A 24,576-nucleotide genomic window follows, 5' to 3' on the forward strand; every position below is an offset into this window, starting at 1 on the left:
GAGGCTGAGGCAGGAGAATTGCTTGAACCGGGAGGCGGAGGTTGCAGTGAGTCGACGACACCGCACCATTGCACTCCAGCCTAGGGACAGAGCAAGACTCTGCTGTCTCAGAAAAACAAAAAAAAGAAAGAAAGAAAAAGAAAATATCCCATAAACTCTGACTGGATGTATCTCCACTCAAGTCCCCCTTTGTTGTGTGCCAAAAATGCTTATCGTCACTCCAGTGCCACCAGCCCCCAGGAAGATTGTGATGAAGGTGGAGTTGGCCTGGAAAGAGGCAGCCTTGTTAACACTGCAGTTCAGGCCTCCTAACATGACAAACTTAACCAACACCTGATCTCATGAACGCATTGGGAGGCCCTTTTCAGAGCCTGGGAGACCCATGCAAGTGGGGCTCAGCTAGCTCCGTAGTGAGCCTGGGCTGAGAGAGAGGGGACAGCTACATCTAGCTGTCCTCTGCAGGTGTCCACCAAGACAGCCGTTGTCCCATCTGGCCCTCCATCGGGAGTCCAGGCCTGATGCCACAAGTCACTTGTGCCCTGTCCTTGGCACTCCCTGCACCAAGGCATGATGGATACAGGTGTCTGTGTGAGGCTGTCCTCACTGCCCACTCCGTCCCACTCCATCCCACTCCGTCCGTCCCACTCCGGGGTCGTTTGTTTGCACTCCCTCCTATTCCTGGATTCTTCCGACTTCGGGCCCAGAGGAAAGCAGCTGATACAAAGAAGCAGCTTTGGGGGGTCTGGTGAGCCTCTCGTATCTCACTGGAGATGTTGCACCAGTCTGTCTACCAGTTATCCATTTAGCTTCATGCATGGAGAAAAGACAATTCCAAAGACTTCTGGAGAAAAAAAGTCTCTTCATTTCCATCTGCAGATCTTAGTGTCTCTCTGGCATAATTTCCCTCCAGCCTTTCTTCGGTCCTTTTAGTACCATCTGCTGTAGTTTCATCTTTCATTTAACTGAAAATGTCTCTATTTTGCCCTTGTGTTTGAAGGATACACTATTGTATAAACGTCATCCCATTGTCTTCCAACTTCCATCCTTGCCAGTGAGAATCAGTGATCAGTCATTTGTGTCCTGGTTCCCCAGCAGGTTATGTGACAATGTGGCATGTCCTCTGGCTCTTTCAAGACTATCCCTGTCTTCAGTTTTCTTTTTCTTTTCTTTTTCTTTTTTTTTTCTTTTTTTTTTTTTTTTGAGACAGGGCCTCACTCTGTTGCCCAGGCTGGAGTGCAGTGGCACAATCATGGCTCACTGCAGCCTCAACCTCCTGGGCTCAAGTGATCCTCCCACCTCAGCCTCCCAAAATACTGGAATTACAGGCATGTTCCAACACCCCCAGCCTGATCTTCAGTTTTCTTAGCATGTGCCTAAGCATATTTTCCTTTGTATTTACCTTGCTTGGGTTCACTGAGCTGCTTTTTTATTTTATTTTTTTTTGAGATGGAATCTTGCTGTGTCACCCAGGCTGGAGTGCAGTGGCACGATCTTGGCTTGCTACAACCTCCACCTCCTGGGTTCATGCCCAGCTAATTTTCTTTTCTTTTTTTTTTTTGAGATGGAGTTTCGCTCTTGTCATCCAGACTGGAGTGCAGTGACATGATCTAGGCTCACTGCAACCTCTGCCTCCCAGGTTCAAGTGATTTTCCTGCCTCAGCCTCCTGAATAGCTGGGATTACAGGCACCTGCCACCACGCCTGACTAATTTTTTGTGTTTTTAGTAGAGACGGGTTTCATCATGTTGGCCAGGCTGGTCTCAAACTTTTGACCTCAGGTGATCCGCCCGCCTCGGCCTCCCAAAGTGTTGGGACTACAGGCGTGAGCCACCACATCTGGCCCACTGAGCTTCTTAGGACTATATAGTACCACACATTCACCATGTCGGAAACATTTTCCTACTATTTATTTATTTAGAGACAAGGTCTCACTGTGGCATCCAGGCTGGAATGCAGTGGCGTGATCACAGCTCACAGCAGGCCCAACCTCCCAGGCTTAAGCGATCCTCCCACCTCAGCCTCCCACAATGCAGCACTTTGGGAGGCCGAGGTGGGAAATCGCTTAAGGCCAGGAGTTCGAGACCAGCCTGGGCAACATGGTAAAACCCTGTCTCTACAAAAACATACAAACAATTAGCTGGGTGTGGTGATGTGTGCCTGTGGTCCCAGCTACTCAGGAAGCTGCAGTAGGAGGATCACTTGAACCTGGAAGGTCAAGCCTATGGTGAACCATGATCATGCCATCGCACTCCAGCCTGGACAACAGTAAGACCCTGTCTCAGTAAATAAATAAATAATAAAAGTCTCACAGGACAGCTTGGATTTTTAAAAAATCAGTGGTCACCCCCTGTCCCTCTGCCCACCATGTTCCCAATCCCCAGAGGTTACTGCTTCCAAGTTTCACAGCTGCTTTGTACTTTTGGGTGTTCACTTCCACATGTTTAAGTGACATGCTTACTCCGCTCTCACTATGTCTTCTTTTTTCTGTTTTTGAGACGGGGTCTCACACTGTCGCCTGGGATGGAATGCGGTGGCGCGATCTTGTCTCACTGCAACCTCCGCCTCCCAGGTTCAAGCAATTCTCCTGCCTCAGCCTCCCAAGTAGCCAGGACTACAGGCACATGCCACCAAGCCCAGCTAATTTTTGTATTGTTAGTAGAGACGGGGTTTCACCATATTGCCCAGGATGGTCTTGAACTCTTGACCTCATGATCTGCCTGATTAGGCCTCCCAAAGTTCTGGGATTACAGGTGTGCCCAGCCAATATCTCAGTTTTCATAAGTAATCTAGGTAATCTGTTAAAAATAAGTATATTAGTACACACAATGCCAATGTGCCCTAAATACGTAAATAAATAAATAAATACATTACGTAAATGTAAATCTGATAAATTCGTTATTTTTTTGCGACAGAGTCTCACTCCATCTGTTGCCCAAGCTTGAGTGCATTGGCACAATGTCAGCTCACTACAACCTCCACCTCCTGGGTTCAAGCGATTCTCCTGCCTCAGCCTCCCGAGTAGCTGGGACTACAGGTGCACGCCACCACACCTGGCTAAATTTTGTATTTTTAGTAGAGATGGTGTTTCACCATGTCGGCCAGGCTGGTCTCGAACTCCTGACCTCAGGTAATCCACCACCTCAGCCTCCCAAAGTGCTGTGATTACAGGTGTGAGCCACCAAGCCCAGCCAATTAATTCTTATAAATGAACTTTTCATGTACTTTAAATTTTAAAGTTGTGTTATGTTAAATAACAGATGTTCTTTAAGTGTGTGGATCATTTCCATATAACATGTGCTTCTGATGAGGAAAAATATAAAAAAGGCATAAAATGTGATCTTTATTTTTTTAAAGAATAATTTTGTCTAATTTGGAGGTTATTTCAAGGTTATTTCCAAATATGAAATAAGATAGGAATCAGTAAGCAGGAAAGAGAAATGTGAAGTTATGGATATGAAGATATATTTTGGTAAGTAAGTTTATAAAAAAGAAATAGCCAGGCATGGTGGCTCATGCATGTAATCCCAACACTTTGGGAGGCCGGGGCAGGCGGATCACAAGGTCAGGAGTTTGAGGCCAGCCTGGCCAATATGGTGAAACCCCATCTCTACTAAAAATACAAAACAGCCAGGCGTGGTGGTGGGTGCCTGTAGTCCCAGCTACTCAGGAAGCTGAGGCAGGAGAATCACTTGAACCTGGGAGGCAGAGGTTGCAGCAAGCCAAGATCACACCACTGCACTCCAGCCTGGGCAACAGAACAAAACTCTCTGTCAAAAAAAAAAAAAAAAAAAAGAAAGAAAGAAAGAAAGAAAGAAAAGAAAAGAGAGAGATAATAATTTTAAATAAGAAGGAATCACATATGGTAAATGTTTGTCCTAAAGTGACCGGTTATTTAAGAAAAAGAAACTGGCCAGGTGTGGTGGCTCATGCCTGTAATCCCAGTGCTTTGGAAGGCTGAGGCAAGGTGGATCACTTGAGCTCAAGAGTTCAAGACCAGCCTGGGCAACATGGTGATACCCCATCTCTACAAAAAATATAAAAATTAGCTGCCCATGGTGGCACACACTTGTAGTTCCAGCTAATTGGGAGGCTGAATTTGGAAGATCACCTGAGCCTGGGAGGTGAAGACTGCAGTGAGCCAAGATAGAGCCACTGCACTCCAGCCTGGGCAACAGAGTCAGGCCCTGTCTCAAAAAAAAAAAAAAAAAGAAAGAAAGAAAGAAAAAGATAAGGAAAGAAAGCAGAACCATAGGACAAAACAGAAAGTCCAAGCATGTCACCAATAGTCTGAGTAAGTTTTTGTTTTTTGAGACAGTCTTGCTCTGTTGCCCACGCTGGAGTGTAGTGGCACAGTCTCAGCTCACTGCAACCTCCACCTCCCGGGTTCAAGTGATTCTCCTGCCTCAGCCTCCTGAGTGGCTGGGATTACAGGCACATGCCACTATTCCTGGCTAGTTTTTGTATTTTTAGTAGAGAGGGGTTTCGCCATGTTGGCCAGGCTGGTCTTGAGCTCCTGACCTCAGGTGAGCCTCAGCCTCCCAAAGTGCTGGGATTACAGGCATGAGCCACCACGCCTGGTCTGGTATGAGTAAGTTTTGATAAGACTTGTGAAAAGGGAATTTATGAAAGGTATTTTGTGTGTAATTAAGTTAGCTATAATTAGAAGGAATTATTTGTAAGTCTTTCTAAATATTGATCTTTTCTATTAAAAATACACTAATACAAAACTAAAAAAACTGGTCACCTATGTCATACATTGCTTTTTTTTTTTTTTTTCCAGGGACAGAGTATCTCTCTGTTGCCCAGGCTGGAGTGCAGTGGCATGACCTTGGTTTACTGCAACCTCTGCCTCCTGGGTTCAAGTGATTCTCCTGCCTCAGGCTCCCGAGTAGCTGGGACTACAGGTGCGCACCACCATGCCCAGCTAATTTTTGTATTTTTAGTAGAGACAGGGTTTCACCATATTGGTCAGGCCAGTCTCGAACTCCTGACCTTGTGATCCACCCACCTCAGCTTCTCAAAGTATTGGGATTACAGGTGTGAGCCTCCAAGCCCAGCCCAAAGTTTTTTGATTATCACTCTGGTTACTATGATTCTATTTTTATTAAGTGTTTTGAATCTTTTGACATCTTTGACTGGCTTCCCCAGGATCAATATCCTAAGTTAAGTCTTTTTGACCTAAATTTAACTTTGCGATTTTCCACTTCGGTTCATGAAGAGCCTCAAAGAATATACACCTCACTTTGTAGAGATATTAAATGATAAGACTTATTTGATAAGTTGTCAAATGATAACACTAAATCTTTCAGTTATATTTATTAGTATTTATTGGTATAAATGTTCCACAAATTATAAAAATTCATGAAAATTTAATGTTAGTCATAATTTTGGTTATGTTGAACTTTTCCTAAAGTTATATTTGTATAGATACGTTTTTGTTTGTTTATTATAGACAGGGTCTCTGTTGCCCAGGCTGGATGGAGTGTACTGGCATGATTATGGCTCACTGCCGCCTCAAAATCTTAGACTCAAGAAATCCTCCCAGCCAGGCGTGGTGGCTCACATCTGTAATCCCAGCACTTTGGGAGGCCGAGGCGGGCGGATCACGAGGTCAGGAGATCGAGACCATCCTGGCTAACACGGTGAAACCCCGTCTCCACTAAAAATACAAAAAATTAGCCAGGCGTGGTGGCAGGCGCCTGTAGTCCCAGCTACTCGGGAGGCTGAGGCAGGAGAATGGTGTGAACCCTGGGGGGCGGAGCCTGCAGTGAGTCGAGATCGTGCCACTGCACTCCAGCCTGGGTGACAGCGAGACTCCGTCTCAAAAAAAAAAAAAAAAATCCTCCCACCTCAGCCTCCCAAGCAGGTAGGACTATAGGCATGTGCCACCACCCAGGTAATTTATTTTATTTTTATTATAGGTGGGGTCTTGCTATGTTGCCCAGCCTGATCTCAAACTCTTGGCCAAAAGTGATCCTGTCACCTCAGCCTCCCAAGTTACTGGGATTACAGACATGATCCACCACACCTGGCTCTGGATATGTTATTAATGTATTCTAAAAATTATATGAAATTTATAAAAGTCTGATGGCCCTGATGTGACACTGGTAGTCACCATTCTGGTTGCTATCTTAACATGCTGCATGTAATGGAAGTAACTAAGTTTCCTTGTCACTTGGGAACTGTCATCAGATTTTTAACTGTGGCTATTTTAAGTTTTTATCATTCACAATGGTTTTCTGAAAGCATTTGGAATAAGGTACAGTCCAAAATTGGTTTTCATGGAAAAGACTCTAACAAGTACTCTTGAACACAGATTTCTGATAACTGTTTTTTTTTTTTTTTGAGACGGAGTCTTGCTCTGTAGCCCAGGCTGGAGTGCAGTAGCGTGATCTCGGCTCACTGCAAGCTCTGCCTCCCGAGTTCACGCCATTCTCCTGCCTCAGCCTCCTGAGTAGCCAGGACTACAGGTGCCTGCCACTGCGCCCGGCTAATTTTTTTTTGTATTTTTAGTAGAGATGGGGTTTCACCGTGGTCTCGATCTCCTGACCTCGTGATCTGCCCGCCTCGGCCTCCCAAAGTGCTGGGATTACAGGCGTGAGCCACCGCACCCGGCAGATTTCTGATAACTTTAAGGTCAATGAACTAAATTAAAACTTTCAGAACTGTAATAAAGAAACTGATGGGGCTGGGTGCAGTGGCTCAAGCCTGTAATCCAAACTGTCTGATGTTATGACCAGAGACATTCAAACTACAAACCAGGAGGAGAAGCTGATGTTTAAATGCTGCAGACAGCCTTCCCAAGACAAAGGAATGAGACTCCACATCATAACAAAACCTTTATCCCTCTTAATGGTACCTTTCCACTTTGCAGGGTAATGCTGTGAAATTTCACAATCAGTGCCTTCTGCTGGTAGCTTAATGGAACCTAAACTAAGCAATCCTTGAGTGGTCATTGGTTAAATAAGAAAATGTCTGTGTCACCGCCGATACTACATGCTGTACCTAGATAAGCTCCTCTAAGAAAAGTTGAGACCCTGATACACAAAAGAAGAGCAGGCCACACAACTGCACCAGGTTTCGCCTAATTTCCTAGGGCCATTTGACTTACTCAATTCACATTCTTCCCCACCATCTGTGTCAGCTGCTGCACCACCTACAGTGAGAAGCACCCGGCAGGCCCCGGGACCCTCCCCGGCTCCACCACAATGAAGACACATGGACATCACACCCAGAGACAGTGCGGCCCTCTCTCTGGACATCTGTCCTTCCTACTTTTTGGCAGAAAACGTTCCCTCCTCTCTTATTACATATTGGCACCCAGTCTGATGGTAGCAGTTTCTGTTATTTTTATTTTTTAATTACTGTTTTTGAGACAAGGCCTTGCTCTGTTTCCCAGGTTGGAGTGCAGCAGCTCAATTGTGGCTCACTGCATCCTTGACCTCCTGGGCTCAAGTGATCCTCCTGCCTCAGCCTCCCAAGTAGCTGGGACTACAATCATATGCCACCATGCCCAACCAACTTTTTTTTTTTTTTTTTGAGACGGAGTCCCGCTTTATCGCCCAGGCTGGAGTGCAGTGCGCAATCTTGGCTCACTGCAAGCTCCACTTCCCGGGTTTCTGCGATTCTCCTGCCTCAGCCTCCCAAGTAGCTGGGATTATAGGCACCTGCCACCATGCCTGGCTAATTTTTTTGTATTTTTAGTAGAGACGAGGTTTCACCATGTTGGTCAGGCTCATCTCAAACTCCTGACCTCAGGTGATCCGCCCACCTCAGCCTCCCAAAGTGCTGGGATTACAGGCGTGAGCCACCGCGCCTGGCCAGTCTTTCCTGTTTTTCAACTCATGTTCTTTCTGTTCTAATTTTGGGAGATTTCCTCAATGTATAACCTTTCTACTTAACATTTTTCTTAACTTCGATATCACATTTTTTATTTAGAAGGGCTCCCTCTTATATTCCTTCTTTCTTTTTCTTTCTTTCCTTTCTTTCTCTCTTTCCTTTGTCTTTTTCTAATACGGTATCTGGCTCTGTTGCCCAATTGGTGTGCAGTGGTGCAATCTTGGCTCACTGCAGCCTCCACCTCCTGGGCTCCAGTGATCCTCCTGCCTCAGCCTCCCAGGTAGCTGGGATTATAGGCATGAACCACGACATCTGACTCCTCTTACATTCTCTTAAGTTCTTTTTATAGCATTGAATTTTATAGCATTCTATTTCACAAATTCTTCTCTTTTTTCTTCTAAGATTACTAATTTGGTTCTTCTCACATTCTCCTCTGGTGCCTGTACCCTCCCTCTCCGCTCTTTTGTTTGGTTCAGGGCTCTGTTTTTTCCCTGTGTCTGGCAATCCTTGCTAAGGTCAGCCCACATGCAGAGCAGCCTTCTGTGCCCGGCGGGACTTTCCATTATTAATTCCACTGCAGGATGATGGGGTGGGACACGGCCATTTCTACTGGGGTCCTAGAGAGCAACATGGTCCCACCCATGGGGAAGTGGCCTCCCCACTGCCAGCCTCCAGCGAGCCAAGGGAGAAGAGCTGAGCCTGGTGCCCCTGAGGCTGGAGGGCCCCCAGATCCACTGTCTCCTGCCTGCTGTGGGAGTGAGGAGGGGAAAGTCGCCTGGCTGTGCTGGCTGATGAGGGGAAGTTCTGGGGGTCCCAGACAGTTCTGGAGGCTTAAGCCCCAGTAGGCAGCCCTGCTGTGCAGCAGCTCCCAAGGCCTCTCTGTCCACTGTCGGCACAACTTGCTCCCCTTTTTTTTTTTTTTTTTTTTTTTTTTTTTTTTTGAGGCAGAGTTTTGCTCTGTCTCCTAGGCTAGAGTGCAGTGGTGCCATCTCAGCTCACTGCAACCTCCTCCGCCTCCTGGGTTCAAGTGATTCTCATGCCTCTGCCTTCCCAGTAGCTCCCTCTGTCACCCAGGCTGGAGTGCAATGGTGCAATCTCGGCTCACTGCAACGCCCGCCTCCTGGGTTCAAGCAATTCTCCTGCCTCAGCCTCCCACATAGCTGGGATTACAGGTGCCCGCCAACACACCTGGGTAATTTTTGTATTTTTAGCAGAGACGGGGTTTCACCACGTTGGCCAGGCTGGTCTTGAACTCCTGACTGCAGGTGACCCACATGCCTTGGCCTCCCAAAGTGCTGGGATAATAGGCGTGAGCCACCGTGACCGGCCTGGCTCCTGTCTTCGACAGCAAAACAGGACATTAGTTGTATAATCATCACCGTGTGGGGCCACTTGGGAGTTTTCATTTGAATTTACAATTATTTTGACTGCAGAGAGATCTGAATGTCACTAGGATCACCTTAAAAAAACAAAGACACAGACAGAATCACAATGTCTAGAATGTCCTGTGAAGTGGGAGTTTTATAAACCAAACACTATGTCCTGTGGTCAAGGTTCTTCCTACCTTTGTGTATCTGTGGCTTTAAGTGAAAGACAATTTTCTAAATTCAAGTGAATAAAAAGTGTTTTCTGGTTGACCATGAGGAAAAATAGGTGGATAAACATAGCTGGAGTATCATGACAACAAGAAAAAGATCAATTTTGACAAAGTTGTCAAACTTGCAGATGTTAAAACTCAAAGCCATGCCGGGCGCGGTGGCTCACACCTGTAATCCCAGCACTTTGGGAGGCCGAGGCGGGCGGATCACGAGGTCAGGAGATCGAGACCATCCTGGCCAACACAGTAAAACCCTGTCTCTACTAAAATATACCAAAAAAAAAAAAAATTAGCCGGGCGTGGTAGCGGGCGCCTGTAGTCCCAGCTACTCGGGAGGCTGAGGCAGGAGAATGGTGTGAACCTGGGAGGCGGAGCTTGCAGTGAGCTGAGATCGTGCCACCGCACTCCAGCCTGGGCGACAGAGCGAGACTCCATCTCAAAAAAAAAAAAGCAAAAAAAACCTCAAAGCCAGAAACTGGACTATAATGTTATCATTAATTAATACAAAAAACCAATAGGTTTGGCTTACACCTATAATCCCGGCACTTTGGGAGGCTGAGGCAGGTGGATCACCTGAGGTCAGGAGTTCAAGACCAGCCTGACCAACACGGTGAAACCCCATCTCTACTAAAAATACAAAATCGCTGGGTGTGGTGGCAGGCCCTGTAATCCCAGCTACTTGGGAGGTTGAGACAGGAGAATCGCTTGAACCCAGGAGGCGGAGGTTGCAGTGAGCCGAGATCTCACCATTGCACTCCAGCCTAGGCAAAAAGAACAGAACTCCGTCTCAAACAAACAAACAAAAAACCAACAAAAAAAACCCAATATGTTGGCCAGGCAGTGGCTCACACCTGTAACCCAGGACTTTGGGAGGCCAAGGCAGGAGGACTGCTTGAGCTCAGGAGTTCAAGACCAGCCTGGGCAACACAGTAAGACTCCATCTCTACTGCAAACTTAAAAAAAAAAAAAAAAACTTAGCTGAATGAGGTGGGGTTTGGTGGCTCACGTCTGTCATCCCAGCACTTAGGGAGGCTGAGGCGGGCAGATCACTTGAGGCCAGGAGTTTGAGACCAGCCTGGCCAACATGGTGAAAACCCGTCTCTACTAAAAATACAAAAAATTAGCCAGGCGTGATGGCTCACACCTGTAGTCCCAGCTACTCAGGAGGCTGAGGCTGGAGAATTGCTTGAACCTGGGAAGCAGAGGTTGCAGTGAGCCAAGATCATGCCACTGCACTCCAGCCTGGGCCACAGAGCGAGACTCTGTCTCAGAGGAAAAAAAAAAAAAATTTCCATTACTTTTTTTTTTTTTTTTTTGCAGGGACAGAATATCGCTCTGTCACCCAGACTGGAGTACAGTGGCACAGTAATAGCTCACAGCAGCCTTGAACTCCTGGGCTCAAGCCATCCTCCTGCCTCAGCCTTCCAAGCACCTGGGACTACAGGTGCATACCACTACATCTGGTTAGAAAACGTCCATTACAGCCGGGTGCCGTGGCTCATGCCTGTAATCTCAGCACTTTGGGAGGCCGAGGTGGGAGGATCAGTTGAGGTCAGGCGTTCGAGACCAGCCTGGCCAACATGGTGAAACCCTGTCTCTACTAAAAATACAAAAATTAGCCGGGCATGCTGGCATGTGCCTGTAATCCTGGGAGGCTGAGGCAGGAGAATCACTTAAACCCGGGAGACGGAGATTGCAGTGAGCTGAGATTGTGCCATTGCACTCCAGCCTGGGCGAAGAAGCGAGACTCCATCTCAAAAACAACAACAACAAAAAATGTCCATTACATTAACATATTTTTCCAAAAGCAAGGGGTAAAGGGTACTTATACCATCATATTAGTATTTATTTATTTATTTATTTATTTATTTTTGAAACAGAGTTTTGCTCGCCACCCAGGCTGGGGTGCTGTGGTGCGATCGTGGTTCACTGCAACCTCCGCCTCCTAGGTTCAAGTGACTCCTGTGCCTCAGCCTCCAGAGTAGCTGGGACTATAAGCGTGAGCCACCACACCTGGCTAATTTTTTGTATTTTTAGTAGAGATGGGTTTTCACCATGTTGGCCAGGCTGGTCTCAAACTCCTGGCCTCAAGTGATCCACCTGCCTCAGCCTCCCAAAGTGCTGGGATTACAGGCGTGAGCCGTGTCCAGCCGGTAATGGAAATTTTAATCCACCGCTTTTGTATTGTAAAGTTTATTTAGCGTATTTTTTTATTTTTGAGACAGGGTCTTGCTCTGTTGCCCAGGCTGGAGTGCAGTGGTGCACACACTGCAACCAGAGCTCACTGCAGCCTTGACCTCCCCAGGCTTAGGTGATCCTCTCACCTCAGCCTCCCTAGTAGCTTAGGCTACAGGTGCATACCACCATTCTGGGCTAATTTTTGTATTGTTTGTAGAGATGGGGTTTTGCCATGTTGCCCAGGCTGGTCTCAGATTCCCGGGCTCAAGTGATCCTCCTGCCTCAGCTGAGTAGCTGGGATGACAGTTGCGTGCCACCATGCCCGGCTAAATGTTGTATTTTTAGTAGAGACAGGATTTCACCATGTTGGTCAGGCTGGTCTTGAACTCCTGACCTCATGATCCGCCCGCCTTGGCCTCCCAAATTGCTGGGATGGCAGCAGCTTTTTTTTTTTTAACGGGCATGTTGTGCAGATGTGGTTCAGGAGAGTGAGCCAGTGGCCCAGGTCATCCCCAGGTTTCTCCGCCAGCAGTGACGCCCCACCCTGGGGAGCAACTTCCCTTAGGCCCAGCTAGCTGCAGAATGGGGGTAGTTGGAGGGAACCTAGAAGGACCTAAGCGCAGGGCCCTGGCAGGTGAGCACAGCATAGGGAGGTGCCAGGTGGAGAAGTGTGCAGGGAAGCAGGGAAGGATGGTGGAAACATGGCGGCCCAGGGGCAGAGGTTGCAGATGGTCGCAGTTGCCCTGGTCCCGGGACCAAGGGGCGAGAGCTAAAAAAGTGGGAGGCCCCACTGGGGAGGGTGGCGGTAGGGCTGGGAGAATGTGGCTGTGGCAGGGTGGGCGGGGACCTTCCAGCCACCTGGAGCATCCTGGGTGGAGGGTTGGGTGGCCTTGGCCAGATGGTCACAGTTGCTGGGACCAAGTGTGAGCACAGACCTCTAGAGTTTGTGGGTGTGAAGTGCAACCGTGGTGACTGGTCCTGGCGGGTGCTTAGGAGGCGGGGGCAGAGACATGGCTCACTCCAGCCTCAACCTCCTGGGCTCAAGCAATTCTCCCACCTCAGCCACTCAGGTAGCTGGGGCTACAGGCGTGCACCATCACGCCCGGCTATTTTTTTTTTTTTTTTGAGACAGAATTTGGCTCTTATTGCCCAGGCTGGAGTGCAATGGTGCAATCTCAGCCACAACCTCTGCCTCCCAGGGTCAAGTGATTCTCCTGCCTCAGCCTCCCAAGTAGCTAGGATTACAGGTGTGCACCACCACGCCGGGCTAATTTTTGTATTTTTAGTAGAAACGGGGTTTCTCCATGTTGGTCAGGTTGGTCTCGAACTCCCAACCTCAGGTGATCTGCCTGCCTCAGCCTCCCAAAGTGCTGGGATTACAGGCGTGAGCCACCACACCCGGCCTAATTTTTGCATTTTTTGGAGAGACGGAGGTTTCACTATATTGCCCAGGCTGGTCTTGAACTCCCGAGCTCAAGTGATCCAGCCTTGGCCTCCCAAAGTGCTGGGATTACAGGTGTGAATCTTCTATTACTTTCCTGTGTGTCCTTCCCAAGTTCACAGAAAACACAAGCTGACAGAAATCCATTCTTTCCCACGGTTGCTGGCACGGATGCTGCTGTGTGACAGCACAAGTTCATGTGCTTGAGGGTCTCCTGGCCACAGCCAGCCCCAGGCTTGCCCTGGACAGGCGGGCTTCAGATTCCCCCCAAGGTTCTATGCCATTGAGTTGGAGGACAAGAGCTTCCCCACTGTCCAGCGTTGAAGCAAACCTCCCTCCAGGTCCCACCCCTCCCCAGGCCTTTGTCCTTTTATCAGGGATTGCCCTGGGGGAGCCCCCCTGGGGAGCTGATGAGGAGGGAGCCTCTGTGCCCCGTGCACTGGCCTGAGGGGGTGAGGCCAGGGCTGGGGCTGCTGCAGGGGACTCTGGCCCGGAGCTGCGGCTGCCTTCCTGGAAACACTCCTGTCAGATGACTGCAGAGTGAGAGTGAAACCAGCTTCCCTCGGAGGCTGCAGCACAGGGCTGACATGCAAACGTCTGAAAAAGAGGCAAGCTCTCGGTGTGAGCAAGTGGACTGCGGCTATTTGAGGTGGGCACTTCCCCTGGGGACAGCACCAGGCACACAAGGGTCCCTTGTTCATGGTCCCGTGGGGGGCCCAGCTTGGACATTCTGCCTCCTGGCTCCATGTGCAAGCTGGGCTCTGTCGTCCCAAGACCTGAGTAAAAGGACATGAGGTGTGAGCCTTCAAGGGTGCCAACCACGCCCAAGGGAAGCCAAGCATCCACAGAGCCCTGCTGGGCACAGAGGGCAGACGCAGCCGCTGGATTTCAGATGCATCCACAGAGCCCTGCTGGGCACAGGGCAGATGCCAGTGGCATGGCGGCCCCTCACCTCCCGTGCTCTGCAGGCCCAGTAGGTAGCTGTGGGGTCCTCCCTGGCCAGGCCAGTGAGTGGCTGGCATCCACGGCAGCATCTGCTGTGGTCCATGGTCATGCCGCCCCTCCAGGGACACTGGCACCCTCGTCAGGACACGGAGCCCAGGACAGCAGCTGCATGTGTCCATCTCCAGGTTCCAACTGCTGCCCTCCTTCCTGCTCCTGCAACCCCCATCCTCAGGCAGTGAGAGGGTGCTGGGGCTTCTCCTGAGACTGCCCGGGGACATACCCTCCCCCTGCCCCTGCTGGAGGCCTGGGTGGCTGACTTTTGCTTTCTTTTCGGCAGGAAGGAGCCCACGTGGGAATCCCCTGAGCTGCGCCATGGCCAGAGTGAGTCACCCCTTTCCAGCCAGCAAACAAGGCGAGTCCCCAGGCCAAGGTGTCACAGCTTCCAAGCTGGTGGGCGGGGTGGGGAGGCCGCTTCCCAATCAGTGTGTGCCTCTGCCTCTCAGTCAGGCTGGTATCAACTTGCTATGCCTTACAGGCCTGTCATCACAATCAATATTATTAGACAGAGTCTTGCTCTGTCGTCCAGGATGGAGTGCAGTGGCGCAATCCTGGCTCACTGCAACCTCCGCCTCGCAGGTTCAAGCGATTTTCCTGCCTCAGCCTCCTGAGTAGTTGGGATTACAGGCACCTGCCATCATGTTCAGTTAATTTTTGTATTTTAGTAGAGACGGGGTTTCACCACCTTGGCCAGGCTGGTCTTGAACTCCTGATCTCAGGTGATCTGCCCACCTCAGCCTCCCAAAGTGCCGGGATTACAGGCGTGAGCCACCATGCCCAGCCAGTTTTTTTTTTACGTGTCTGTGCCAATCTTCTGGAAACAGAGCAGTATAAATTAAACAAAGGCATTTTCATGAGAGCAGCACTGGGGCAAGTACTCTGAGACTGGGCGGCACGGGGCAGTCATCCTGGTCACTACCTGCTCTCGAGGGCTGTGGGCATTTGCCAAGCTTGGGAAACCTTTTCTGGACTTGGGGTGGGGCTGAGGTGGTCTCAGACTCAGCCCTTCAACACTGTCATCATCCAGGACCAGTGAGGTGTGTCACCCCATGTTGGAGGCCACTGTCTGAAAGCTGTTAGAATGACTTTCCCGTTACCCTGAAGGAAGTAGAGTGTCCTAAAACAGGTGAACCCCTTCTTTTTTCTTTGAGATGGAGTCTTGCTCTGTCACCCAGGGTGGAATGCAGTGGCGTAATCTCGGCTCACTGCAACCTCTGCCTCCCAGGTTCAAGTGATTTTCCTGCCTCAGCCTCCTGAGTAATTGGGATTACAGGCATCTGCCACCATGCCCAGCTGATTTTTGTATTTTTAGTAGAGACAGGGTTTCACCACGTTGGCCAGGCTGGTCTTGAACCCCTGACCTCAGGTGATCCACCCACCTCAGCCTCCCAAAGTGCTGGGATTACAAACATGAGCCACTGTGCCGGGCCTTTTGTGTATTTTTTTTTTTTTTTGAGATGGATTCTTGCTCTGTCGCCAGGCTGGAGTGTAGTGGCGCAATCTCGGCTCACTGCAACCTACGCCTCCCGGGTTCAAGTGAATCTCCTGCCTACTCAGTCTCCTGAGTAGCTGTGAGTACAGGCGCGTACCACCATGCCCAGCTAATTTTTGTACTTTTAGTAGAGACAGGGTTTCAACATGTTGGCCAGAATGGTCTCGATCTCTTGACCTCATGATCTGCCCACCTCGGCCTCCCAAAGTGCTGGGGTGAGCCACCGCGCCCGGCCTTTTGTATTTTTTTAGTAGAGACGAGGTTTCACCATGTTGGCCAGTCTGGTCTCAAACTCCTGACCTCAGGTGATCTGCTCGCCTAGGCCTCCCAAAGTGCTGGGATTACAGGCATGAGCCGCCGTGCCTGGCTGTTTTTTCTTTTTTAAAAGAGACAGGGTCAGCCAGGCGCAGTGGCTCATGCCTGTAATCCTAGCACTTTGGGAGGCCGAGGCAGGCAATTGCCTGAGCTCAGGAGTTCGAGACCAGCCTGAGCAACACGGTGAAACCCCGTCTCTACTAAAATACAAAAAAAATTAGCCGGGCGTAGCGGTGTGCGCCGGTAGTCCCAGCTACTCCGGAGGCTTAGGCAGGAGAATTTCTTGAACCCGGGAGGCAGAGGTTGCAGTGAGCCGAGATCGCACCACTGCACTCCAGCCTGGGTGACAGAGCAAGACACCGTCTCAAAAAAGAAAAAAAAGAGACAGGGTCTCACTCTATAGCGCAGCCTGGAGTGCAGTGGTGCAACCACAGCTCACTGCAACCTCCACCTCCTGAGCTTCAGTCATCTTCCTGCCTCAGCCTTCCAAGCAGTTGGGACTACAGGTGTGCAGCACCACACCCAGCTAAATTTTTTTTCCTTTTTTTGGTAGAGATGGGGTTCCCCCATGCTGCCCATGCTGGTTTCGAACTCATGGGCTCAAGCGGTCCTCCTGCCTCAGCCTCCCAAAGTGCTGGGATTATAGGCATGAACTGCCACGTGAACCCTTTCTCATCCCGAGCTGGCTGCTGCAGACTCAGGACAGCTTTGAGCCTCCCAGGTGCAGCCAGGAGGAGACGCCTTCTTACGTTTGAGAGCTCAGTTAGTTCCTGGGCTTGAGCAACCTCACTGAGCCTGCAGGTGCGGACTTGGGACGTTTCCATGGCTGCTTGCAGCAAACTCAGGGGTGATGACGTTGATGGAATCCGATGGCTTCCTGAGTTCCATCTCAAGGCCTTGCTGTCCCAGGAATGTGGGTTTGGGGCGGAGGGGAATTCCAACTGCAAACCAAGTAACATATATGAAATGTGGCATTGGCGCCTGGGGACAGCGTGGCCTGTGTAAATTATGCAACTTCAAAGCCTGCCCTGTTTTGCAGTGTATTCCATCCTTGAGGAGTCCCGTGGTCTCAGGGTCTGAATGCTTGGAGGAGACTTACCTCCGTGAACGTTTCCTTCTCTGCAAAGCGGGGTGAAAGGTCTCCATTTCACCAAAGGCTGGATGGAGAGGGGGTGGTGTGTCCAGTGCTAGCCCGTGCACCGCCAGAGAGAACCTGCTGCAGCTCCCGTTCTCCTGGGCAGATGACAGTGCCGCCTCCCCCATGCAGCCCACAGGACTCCTAGGGCAGCCCCTGTTTTGGCCGCCAAGGCCACTGTTTTCATTTGAGTGTCTGGAGGCCATAGGTTGTGTTTTCACTTGAGGTCGGGAGTTCAAGACCAGCCTGGCCAACATGGTGAAACCTCGTCTCTATCAAAAATACAAACATTAGCCGGGCGTGATGGCGGGCGCCTGTAGTCCCAGCTACTCGGGAGGCTGAGGCAGGAGAATCGCTTGAACCCGGGAGGCGGAGGTTGCAGTGAGTCGAGATCGCGCCACTGAACTCCAGCCTGGGCGACAGAGTGAGCCTCCGTCTCAAAAAAAAAAATAAATAAAGTGCACAACCCAGTAGATTAGCACACCGGCCATGTCGGGCGGCCGTCACCACTGTCCGGTTGCAGAGCATTACCTCACCCCAAAAGGAGACCCCATAGCCTTAATACCTTACTTAAGTGTGCAGTATTCTTTTAGTCCTGTTTCTCATAAATGTTACCCAAATTGAGGCGCCGCTCTGCGCCCGGCACCGGGGGAGGCGGAGGGACCCGCAGGTGTCGGGTAGGTGCGGCCGCCCCGCCAGGGCCCCGCGTCCCGCGCGCGACGCGCGCCTCGTGGGAACCGGTGTCGCCCGGCTTGGGCTCCCGGCTCACCTCTCGGGTGTGCGGCAGGGGTCTCCGCCCCGGGGCCACGGGAGGGGAAGCAAGGGCCTCGCTGTCTCGCCGCACCTGGGGAAGGGACCCAATTAGCGCGGACCCCACAGCGCAGCACCTCACCAGCTCCCCGCACCAACGCCCCGGCGCGCTCTTTGAGGAAAAAGCAGAGGGCGACTTAGGTACCCACGCCGTCTCAGCGCCGACCAATCGGCGCACGCTGCGGCTCCTGCGGGCTCGCTGGTTGGCTCCGGCGTCAGTCCGTCAGGCGCGCTCGGAGCGGGGCGTATCTGGCCAATGGCTCTCGCTACAGCTTCCTGAGGGCTGGCTGGTTGGCTCCCATGTCCGTCCGTCAGGCGCACGCGGCGGAGCGGCGGCGGCGGCGGCGGCGTTGGGGGCGGTAGCTGGGCGGGCCCTTAGTTCCGGGCGCGCTGCGACCGTTGGGTGAGGCGAGCGCGGGGTCGGGTGCGGGGTCGGGCGCGGGCGCGGGGTCGGGTGCGGGGTCGGGCGCGGGGTCGGGCGCAGGCGCGGGCACCTCTCAGGGAGACTCCGGGCCGGAGCGGGAGCGGGGGCGGGAGAGGCCGCGGGGCGGGGGCGGGGCCAGCCCGAGGGGATTTCTCTGAGCCGCTGGGCCGGAAACCAAGTCCGAGCGTGGCTGGCGCGGGAAAGTTCGGGAACGCGCGCGGCCGTGCTCGGAGCAGCGCCAGGGCACGGTCCGGGGTTTTGCGCGGGGTCGCGGCTCCCAGTACCGCCTGAGGCCCGTGGGCGGCCCACCCGGCCCTGCCCCGTCCCGGGTCCGTCGCTCCCCCGCACCCTGTCGCCCCTCCACGCTCAGCTGTGGGCCCCTCGTGTCCCCGAAGCCCCGCACCCTCAGCCGGCTGCGTGCTCGGGAGGGTCAGGGGCGCCTCCGACCCCTGAGTTTGCCAGCGCCCCCCAGCCAGGGGTCGGGGAAGACCAGTGAGGCTGGGGGCGGAGCCGACTCTGCTGCCTTCCTGCCCAGTGGCTGGGGAGACCCAGGCTGAGCCTGGGTGAAAAGTCCCTCTGGCTGCTGGGAGGGTCGGGGGCAGCAAGGAGCCAGTGCGGGGATGGGCTGCGGTGGACCGGGCCGGGATCGGGGCCGGGGCCTGGTCCTGGCAGTAGCAGGGGATGTTTGTGGAAGGTAGAGCCGAGAAAAAGAGGAGTTGCAATGTCTGCAAGAATCTGGCGTGAGCAGCTGAAGGCTGGTGCTTCCTAGGCCAAGATGAAGGAGTCACAGCGCCCATGGCCTCTCGGGAGGCGGCCAGATGGGCAGCCTGGGGTCAGGGGAACGGTCAGGGCCAGAGCTGGGTATTTTGGAGTTGTCATTTTGAGGCCCCGAGGGCTGAGGGTCAGTGCAGAAGAGCACCAAGCCTCCACTCGGTGTAGGGCCGACAGGGGGTGGGGTGTCTGGCAGCCGGTGAAGACGGGGCTCGGAGGAGGAGGGAGTCTGGTCTGGGTCAAGTCAAGGGAAACTAGGACTGAGAACGGACCCTGCTCTGTGGCCACATGATTTTGAAGGGACGGAATTACTGCCCTGTAACTCAGTCTCTCTCCCTGTTAATAGCCCTAGTTTTTAATAAGAGGAACTGAATGTATTAATGGGTGGACACTTGTAAGGTTCAAGATCTCCTCTTCTACCACGCTTGCTTCTGATACTTTTGTATAAACAGTTGTTAAGAGTTTAGGTTGTTATCAAGCTTCTATTTGGTATTATTTTGAGCCTGAAAAAGATGGGGTTACATATAAAATTGTAATTTTATTTATTTATTTTTTGAGATAGTTTTGGTCTTGTTGCCCAGGCTGGAGTGCAGTGGCTCGATCTCGGCTCACTGCAGCCTCCGCCTCCTGGGTTCAAGCGATTTTTCTGCCTCAGCCTCCCGAGCAGCTGGGATTACAGGCGTGCACCACCACGCCCGGCTAATTTTTTGTATTTTTAGTAGAGATAGGGTTTCATCATGTTGGCCAGGCTGGTTTCAAACTCTTGACCTTAGGTGATCCACCCGCCTCGGCCTCCCAAAGTGCTAGGATTACAGGCATGAGCCACCGCGCCCGGCCATGAAATTACAGTTTTAAAGTTAACTTCTAGTATTTGGAGGGCCTCATATTCATGGCTGCATGCAGATCAGTGTTCCTGAATATTACTCAGATGAGCTTTTATAGAAGTGGGTTAGAATCAGGTGCCATTGACGCCTGTAGTCCCAGCTACTCCGGAGGCTGAGGCAGGAGAATGGCGTGAACCCGGGAGGCGGAGCTTGCAGTGAGCCGAGATCGCGCCACTGCACTCCAGCCTGGGTGACAGAGCGAGACTCCATCTCAAAAAGAATCGGGTGCCACCCAGTGAACTCTTACGTGGAGTCCAGTATTGTATGAAGCAGTTGTGTGCTGTTGGTGGAGACATGAATTGAGGTTTGAATCTCCAGCATTTGGGGCATCTTGGAGTCTGCTTGTGAGAAGGGCGAGGCCTGGGTTGAACCCAAGCGTTTGCGGCGACTAGGTGACCCCTGCAGCGGCCAGGTTGCACCCATATCTGATTTGATGTCATGGTTTGGGCAGTGTTTGACTTGTGTAACAATACAGCTTGTCCTTTTGAGAGTCACCGATGCCACCAAACCATGTTCACACACCAGAGTCAGGATGCCAGGTCTCAGCTGCCTGATGACTCCAGCTTAGTGAAGGCCTCTGATTTCTTGTGGGGGTGTCCCATTGTGAAGGGAACACACAGCTCGGCCCTACCAGCAACAAGGGTGCCAGATGCCCCCACTCTCCTGTGGAGGGGAGTCTCGCTCTGTCACCCGGCTGGAGTGCAGTGGCACGATCTCGGCTCACTGCAACCTCTGCCTCCTGGGTTCACGCTATTCTTCTGCCTCAGCCTCCCGAGTAGCTGGACTACAGGCACCCGCCACCACGCCCAGCTAATTTTTTGTATTTTTAATGGAGACGGGGTTTCACCATGTTAGCCAGGGTGGTCTCGATCTGATCTCGTGATCCGCCCACCTCGGCCTCCCAGAGTGCTGGGATTACAGGTGTGAGCCACCACTGAGGGGCTTTTTTACGTTAAAACTTGTTTGTTTGTTTTTCTTTTTTTGTTTGTGTGGTTTTTTCTGTTTTTTTTTTTTTTTTGAGACGGAGTCTCGCTCTGTCCCCCGGTGTGAGCCACCACGCCTGGCCTTTTTTTTTCTTTTTTTGAGACAGAGTTTCGCTCTTGTTGCCCAGGCTGGAGTGCAATGGTGCGATCTCGGCTCGCTGCAACCTCTGCCTCCCAGGTTCAAGTGATTCTCCTGCCTCATCCTCCAGAGTAGGTGGGATTACAGGCACCCACCATAATGCCCGGCTAATTTTTGTGTTTTTAATAGAGACAGGGTTTCTCCACTTTGGTGAGGCTGGTCTCGAACTCCTGACCTCAGGTGATCCACCTGCCTTGGCACTCCCAAAGTGCTGGGATTACAGGTATGAGCCACCTTGCCCGGCCTTAAAACCTGTTTTTGACATTTCTTTGCCATTTTAACTTTTTTGTTATTTTATTTTTATACCTGAGGTCTTGTTATGTTTCCCAGGCTGGTCTCGAACTCCTGGCCTGAAGTGATCCTCCAACCTCAGCCTCCCAAGTAGCTGGGATTACAGGTGCAAGCCACTGTGTCAGTTGGTCACCGCATGTGTGAGAGTTCCCCCCACACTTATTCAGTCGGTCACCACTTGTGTGAGAGTCGCCCCTGCATGCTCATTCAGTCGGTCACTACATTTGTGACAGTCATCCCCGCATGCTCATTCAGTCGGTCACCGCATGTGTGATAATCACCCCCGCATGCTTGTTCAGCTCGTCACCGCGTGTGTGAGAGTCCCCACCGCACGCTCGTTCAGCCGGTCACCGCGTGTGTGAGAGTCCCCACCGCACGCTCGTTCAGCCGGTCACCGCGTGTGTGAGTCCCCCCCGCACGCTCGTTCAGCCGGTCACCGCGTGTGTGAGTCCCCACCGCACGCTTGTTCAGCCGGTCACCGCGTGTGAGTCCCCACTGCACGCTCGTTCAGCCGGTCACCGTGTGTGTGAGAGTCCCCACCGCACGCTCGTTCAGTCGGTCACCGCATGTGTGAGAGTCCCCACCACACGCTCGTTCAGCTGGTCACCACGGGGGTGGCACTTTTGTTTTTAGCTGACTTAGCTGATAGAATTGGGAGTTTTAGAGTAAAACTGATCTGGAAGCCTGAAAAAACCAGCAGCACATTGTTCGTTTCCAGGTTGAATCGCTCCTAGCTGACCCCTCACGTCTCTTATGATACGTACAGAAAGCAAGAGCAGCCCATGCCGTCCGGCCGCGCACCAGGTCTCAGTCTGTGTGTCTGGTTCAGGTGACCATGGTGTTCAGTTCAGTTCCTCCTGCCTCGTGTGTAGGCCACTGAGAGCTCCCTAGTCTAAGCCGGAGGAGGTTCTGGTAAGTGCTAGGCACAGTGGAAGTCGGATTCCAACATGTGCGCAAATTGGGGCACTGTCAGAAGTGTGCTAAAATCTTGGTGTAGCACTTTTGAGCCTTCGTGGTGGTTTTCATTAGTTCTTAAAATGTATTTATGAATGAGATTCAAATAAAATGTTTAAGGAATCTCTAAGCACAAAGAACCCCAGAGTGTAGTGTGGGCATCAGTGGGACCTCAGGGTCCCCTGACCGGGCTGCCTGCCGTGTCCTGGCTGTCTGGGGTTGTGTTTTCATTTGGAAACAGGAATAATGATCCCCGACCTTCCAGCCGTGTCAGGATGTCACGATGGCCACGTGAGGCCGTGTCTGTGAGAAGCGTCTGCCGGTGGTGGAGGACGTGCACTTTGTTGTGAACCTCGGCTCACTGCAGCCTCCTCCTCCCCAGGCTCAGGTGATCCTCCCACCTCAGCCTCCTGAGTGGCTGGGACCACAGATGCGAGATCCTCCCACCTCGGCCTCCTGAGTAGCTGGGACCACAGATGCATGCCATCACACTTGGCCATTTTTTGTATTTTTAGATTTGTTTTTTTATGTGTGTTTTGTTTTTGAGACAGATGGTTGCTCTTGCTCAGGCTGGAGTGCAGTGGCATGATCTCAGCTCACTGCAACCTCCGCCTCTCAGGTTTGAGCGATTCTTCTGCCTCAGCCTCTGGAGTAGCTGGGCTTACAGGCTTGCACCACCATGCCTGGCTAATTTTTTGTATTTTTAGTGGAGACGGGGTCTCACCATGTTGGCCAGCCTGGTCTTGAACTCCTGACCTCATGATCCGCCCGCCTCGGCCTCCCAAAGTGCTGGGATTACAAGTGTGAGCCACCGCGCCCAGCCATTTTTTTGTGTTTTTGGTAGAGACAGGGTTTCATCATGTTCCCCAGGCTGGTCTTGAACTCCTGAGCTCAAGCAATCTGCCTACCTCGGCCTCCCAAAGTGCTGGGATTATAGGTGTGAGCCACCATGCCTGGCCCATTTTTGTGGTTCTTTTATGTCTGACAGGCATGCCTAGGGCAGGGAGGGCACACCTCTGTCTCCACCTTCAAGAGCGCATTTAGGAGGAATGTCGATATGAAAAGAATCAAGCTTTGTCTGAAAGATGCACCAGGACACTCTTCAGTGACATTGGGAAAAAAGAACGCTCACCCTGAATCTTTTTTTTTTTTTTGAGACGAAGTTTCGCTCTTTGTGCCCAAGCTGGAGAGCAGTGGTGCGATCTTGACTCTCTGCAACCTCTGCCTCCCAGGTTCAAGCGATTCTCCTGCCTCAGCCTCCCAAGTAGCTGGAATTACAGGCGTGAGCCACTGCACTCGGCTAATTTTGTGTTTTTAGTAGAAATGGGTTTCTCCATGTTGGTCAAGCTGGTCTCGATCACCACCTCAGGTGATCCACCCGCCTCAGCCTCCCAAAGTGCTGGGATTACAGGCATGAGCCACCGTGCCCGGCCCATTCTGAATCTGTCTACCCTAGCAAAACGATCCTTTATTTTACTTTCTTGCCCCATTCGTACACTGGCATGACTGCACTCATAGGGTTCTTCACATTTTATATCCTATTTAACATCTTATAATAAGTATAAAATAGGATTTTGTCCTAAAGAATGTGGTTTAAGGCCAGGCGCGGTGGCTCACGCCTGTAATCCCAGCACTTTGGGAGACCGAGGCGGGCAGATCACGAGGTCAGGAGATCGAGACCATCCTGGCTAACACGGTGAAACCCCGTCTCTACTAAAAAATACAAAAAATTAGCTGGGCATGGTGACTGGTGCCTGTAGTCCCAGCTACTTGGGAGGCTGAGGCAGGAGAATGGCGTGAACCTGGGCGGTGGAGGTTGCAGTGAGCCAAGATCGCGCCACTGCACTCCCGCCTGGGCGACAGAGCGAGACTCCGTCTCAAAAAAATAAATAAATAAAAAGAATGTGGCTTAAAAACCAATGATACTTAAAAATAGAAAATTTCTTTGTCCAAAGTGGATTAGAAGCCACTTTGTTCTAAAACCATTAAACCTTTTTAAACTGTTAGTGGCTCAGCCAGGCACAGTGGCTCATGCCTATAATCTCAGCACTTTGGGAGATTGAGGTGGGCAGATTATCTGAGGTCAGGAGTTCGAGACCAGCCTGGCCAACATGGTGAAACCCTGTCTCTACTAAAAATACAAAAATTAGCCAGGCGTGGTGACAGGCGTCTGTAATCCCAGCTACTCGGGAGGCTGAGGCAGGAGAATCGCTTGAACCTGGGAGGCGGAGGTTGCACCTTAGATCACACCGTTGCACTCCCGCCTGAGCGACAGAGCAAGACTCTGTCTCACATGAATAAATAAATAAACCATTAGTGGCT

The 24,576-nt window shown here is 51.5% G+C and overlaps 1 protein-coding gene, 1 long non-coding RNA gene and 1 other non-coding gene across 6 annotated transcripts in view, besides 11 other annotated features; 2 read left to right on the forward strand and 1 right to left on the reverse strand.

Moving 5' to 3' along the window:
• Positions 12,429 to 12,478: a silencer, noted in NCBI's record as "silent region_20557". NCBI's record gives its function as "represses an Ori minimal core promoter by ATAC-STARR-seq in GM12878 lymphoblastoid cells {active_cell/tissue: GM12878}" and the evidence as "EXISTENCE:reporter gene assay evidence [ECO:0000049][PMID:35858748]".
• Positions 12,599 to 12,648: an enhancer, noted in NCBI's record as "active region_29330". NCBI's record gives its function as "activates an Ori minimal core promoter by ATAC-STARR-seq in GM12878 lymphoblastoid cells {active_cell/tissue: GM12878}" and the evidence as "EXISTENCE:reporter gene assay evidence [ECO:0000049][PMID:35858748]".
• The window catches only part of TRAF2 (TNF receptor associated factor 2), a 44,650-nt gene continuing 33,701 nt past the window's right edge, over positions 13,628 to 24,576 (forward strand). The window contains exons 1-2 of one of the 4 annotated variants that reach the window (XM_011518976.4): positions 13,628 to 13,703; positions 14,337 to 14,380. The gene's annotated coding sequence lies outside the window, so the exon portion shown is untranslated. Of the gene's footprint in view, positions 13,704 to 14,336; positions 14,381 to 17,926; positions 17,950 to 18,185; positions 18,212 to 21,339; positions 21,407 to 22,018; positions 22,213 to 24,576 lie in introns of those variants that run through there. The other 3 variants (XM_047423829.1, XM_011518977.3, NM_021138.4) reach the window with 3 other exon arrangements.
• Positions 13,644 to 13,833: an enhancer, noted in NCBI's record as "active region_29331". NCBI's record gives its function as "activates an Ori minimal core promoter by ATAC-STARR-seq in GM12878 lymphoblastoid cells {active_cell/tissue: GM12878}" and the evidence as "EXISTENCE:reporter gene assay evidence [ECO:0000049][PMID:35858748]".
• Positions 13,884 to 14,013: an enhancer, noted in NCBI's record as "active region_29332". NCBI's record gives its function as "activates an Ori minimal core promoter by ATAC-STARR-seq in GM12878 lymphoblastoid cells {active_cell/tissue: GM12878}" and the evidence as "EXISTENCE:reporter gene assay evidence [ECO:0000049][PMID:35858748]".
• Positions 14,034 to 14,103: an enhancer, noted in NCBI's record as "active region_29333". NCBI's record gives its function as "activates an Ori minimal core promoter by ATAC-STARR-seq in GM12878 lymphoblastoid cells {active_cell/tissue: GM12878}" and the evidence as "EXISTENCE:reporter gene assay evidence [ECO:0000049][PMID:35858748]".
• Positions 14,134 to 14,573: an enhancer, noted in NCBI's record as "active region_29334". NCBI's record gives its function as "activates an Ori minimal core promoter by ATAC-STARR-seq in GM12878 lymphoblastoid cells {active_cell/tissue: GM12878}" and the evidence as "EXISTENCE:reporter gene assay evidence [ECO:0000049][PMID:35858748]".
• LOC105376326 (uncharacterized) lies at positions 16,450 to 17,924 on the reverse strand. The gene is made up of 3 exons (XR_930448.2): positions 17,768 to 17,924; positions 16,963 to 17,020; positions 16,450 to 16,804 (listed from the first exon to the last, which is right to left on the reverse strand). It is a non-coding gene; the product is annotated as an uncharacterized LOC105376326 (long non-coding RNA).
• Positions 17,611 to 17,740: a silencer, noted in NCBI's record as "silent region_20558". NCBI's record gives its function as "represses an Ori minimal core promoter by ATAC-STARR-seq in GM12878 lymphoblastoid cells {active_cell/tissue: GM12878}" and the evidence as "EXISTENCE:reporter gene assay evidence [ECO:0000049][PMID:35858748]".
• Positions 17,961 to 18,770: a silencer, noted in NCBI's record as "silent region_20559". NCBI's record gives its function as "represses an Ori minimal core promoter by ATAC-STARR-seq in GM12878 lymphoblastoid cells {active_cell/tissue: GM12878}" and the evidence as "EXISTENCE:reporter gene assay evidence [ECO:0000049][PMID:35858748]".
• Positions 17,961 to 18,882: a biological region, named in NCBI's record as "H3K27ac-H3K4me1 hESC enhancer GRCh37_chr9:139780929-139781664".
• Positions 18,147 to 18,882: an enhancer, noted in NCBI's record as "H3K27ac-H3K4me1 hESC enhancer chr9:139780929-139781664 (GRCh37/hg19 assembly coordinates)". NCBI's record gives its function as "activates a minimal SCP1, AML or CMV promoter by ChIP-STARR-seq in naive H9 embryonic stem cells {active_cell/tissue: H9 hESC(naive)}" and the evidence as "EXISTENCE:reporter gene assay evidence [ECO:0000049][PMID:30033119]".
• On the forward strand, positions 18,403 to 18,473 carry MIR4479 (microRNA 4479). The gene has a single exon (NR_039697.1). It is a non-coding gene; the product is annotated as a microRNA 4479 (primary transcript).
• Positions 18,883 to 19,618: an enhancer, noted in NCBI's record as "H3K27ac-H3K4me1 hESC enhancer chr9:139781665-139782400 (GRCh37/hg19 assembly coordinates)". NCBI's record gives its function as "activates a minimal SCP1, AML or CMV promoter by ChIP-STARR-seq in naive H9 embryonic stem cells {active_cell/tissue: H9 hESC(naive)}" and the evidence as "EXISTENCE:reporter gene assay evidence [ECO:0000049][PMID:30033119]".

Source organism: Homo sapiens, chromosome 9 (genome assembly GCF_000001405.40).
Source record: "Homo sapiens chromosome 9, GRCh38.p14 Primary Assembly".
Classification (NCBI taxonomy): Eukaryota; Metazoa; Chordata; class Mammalia; order Primates; family Hominidae; genus Homo; species Homo sapiens.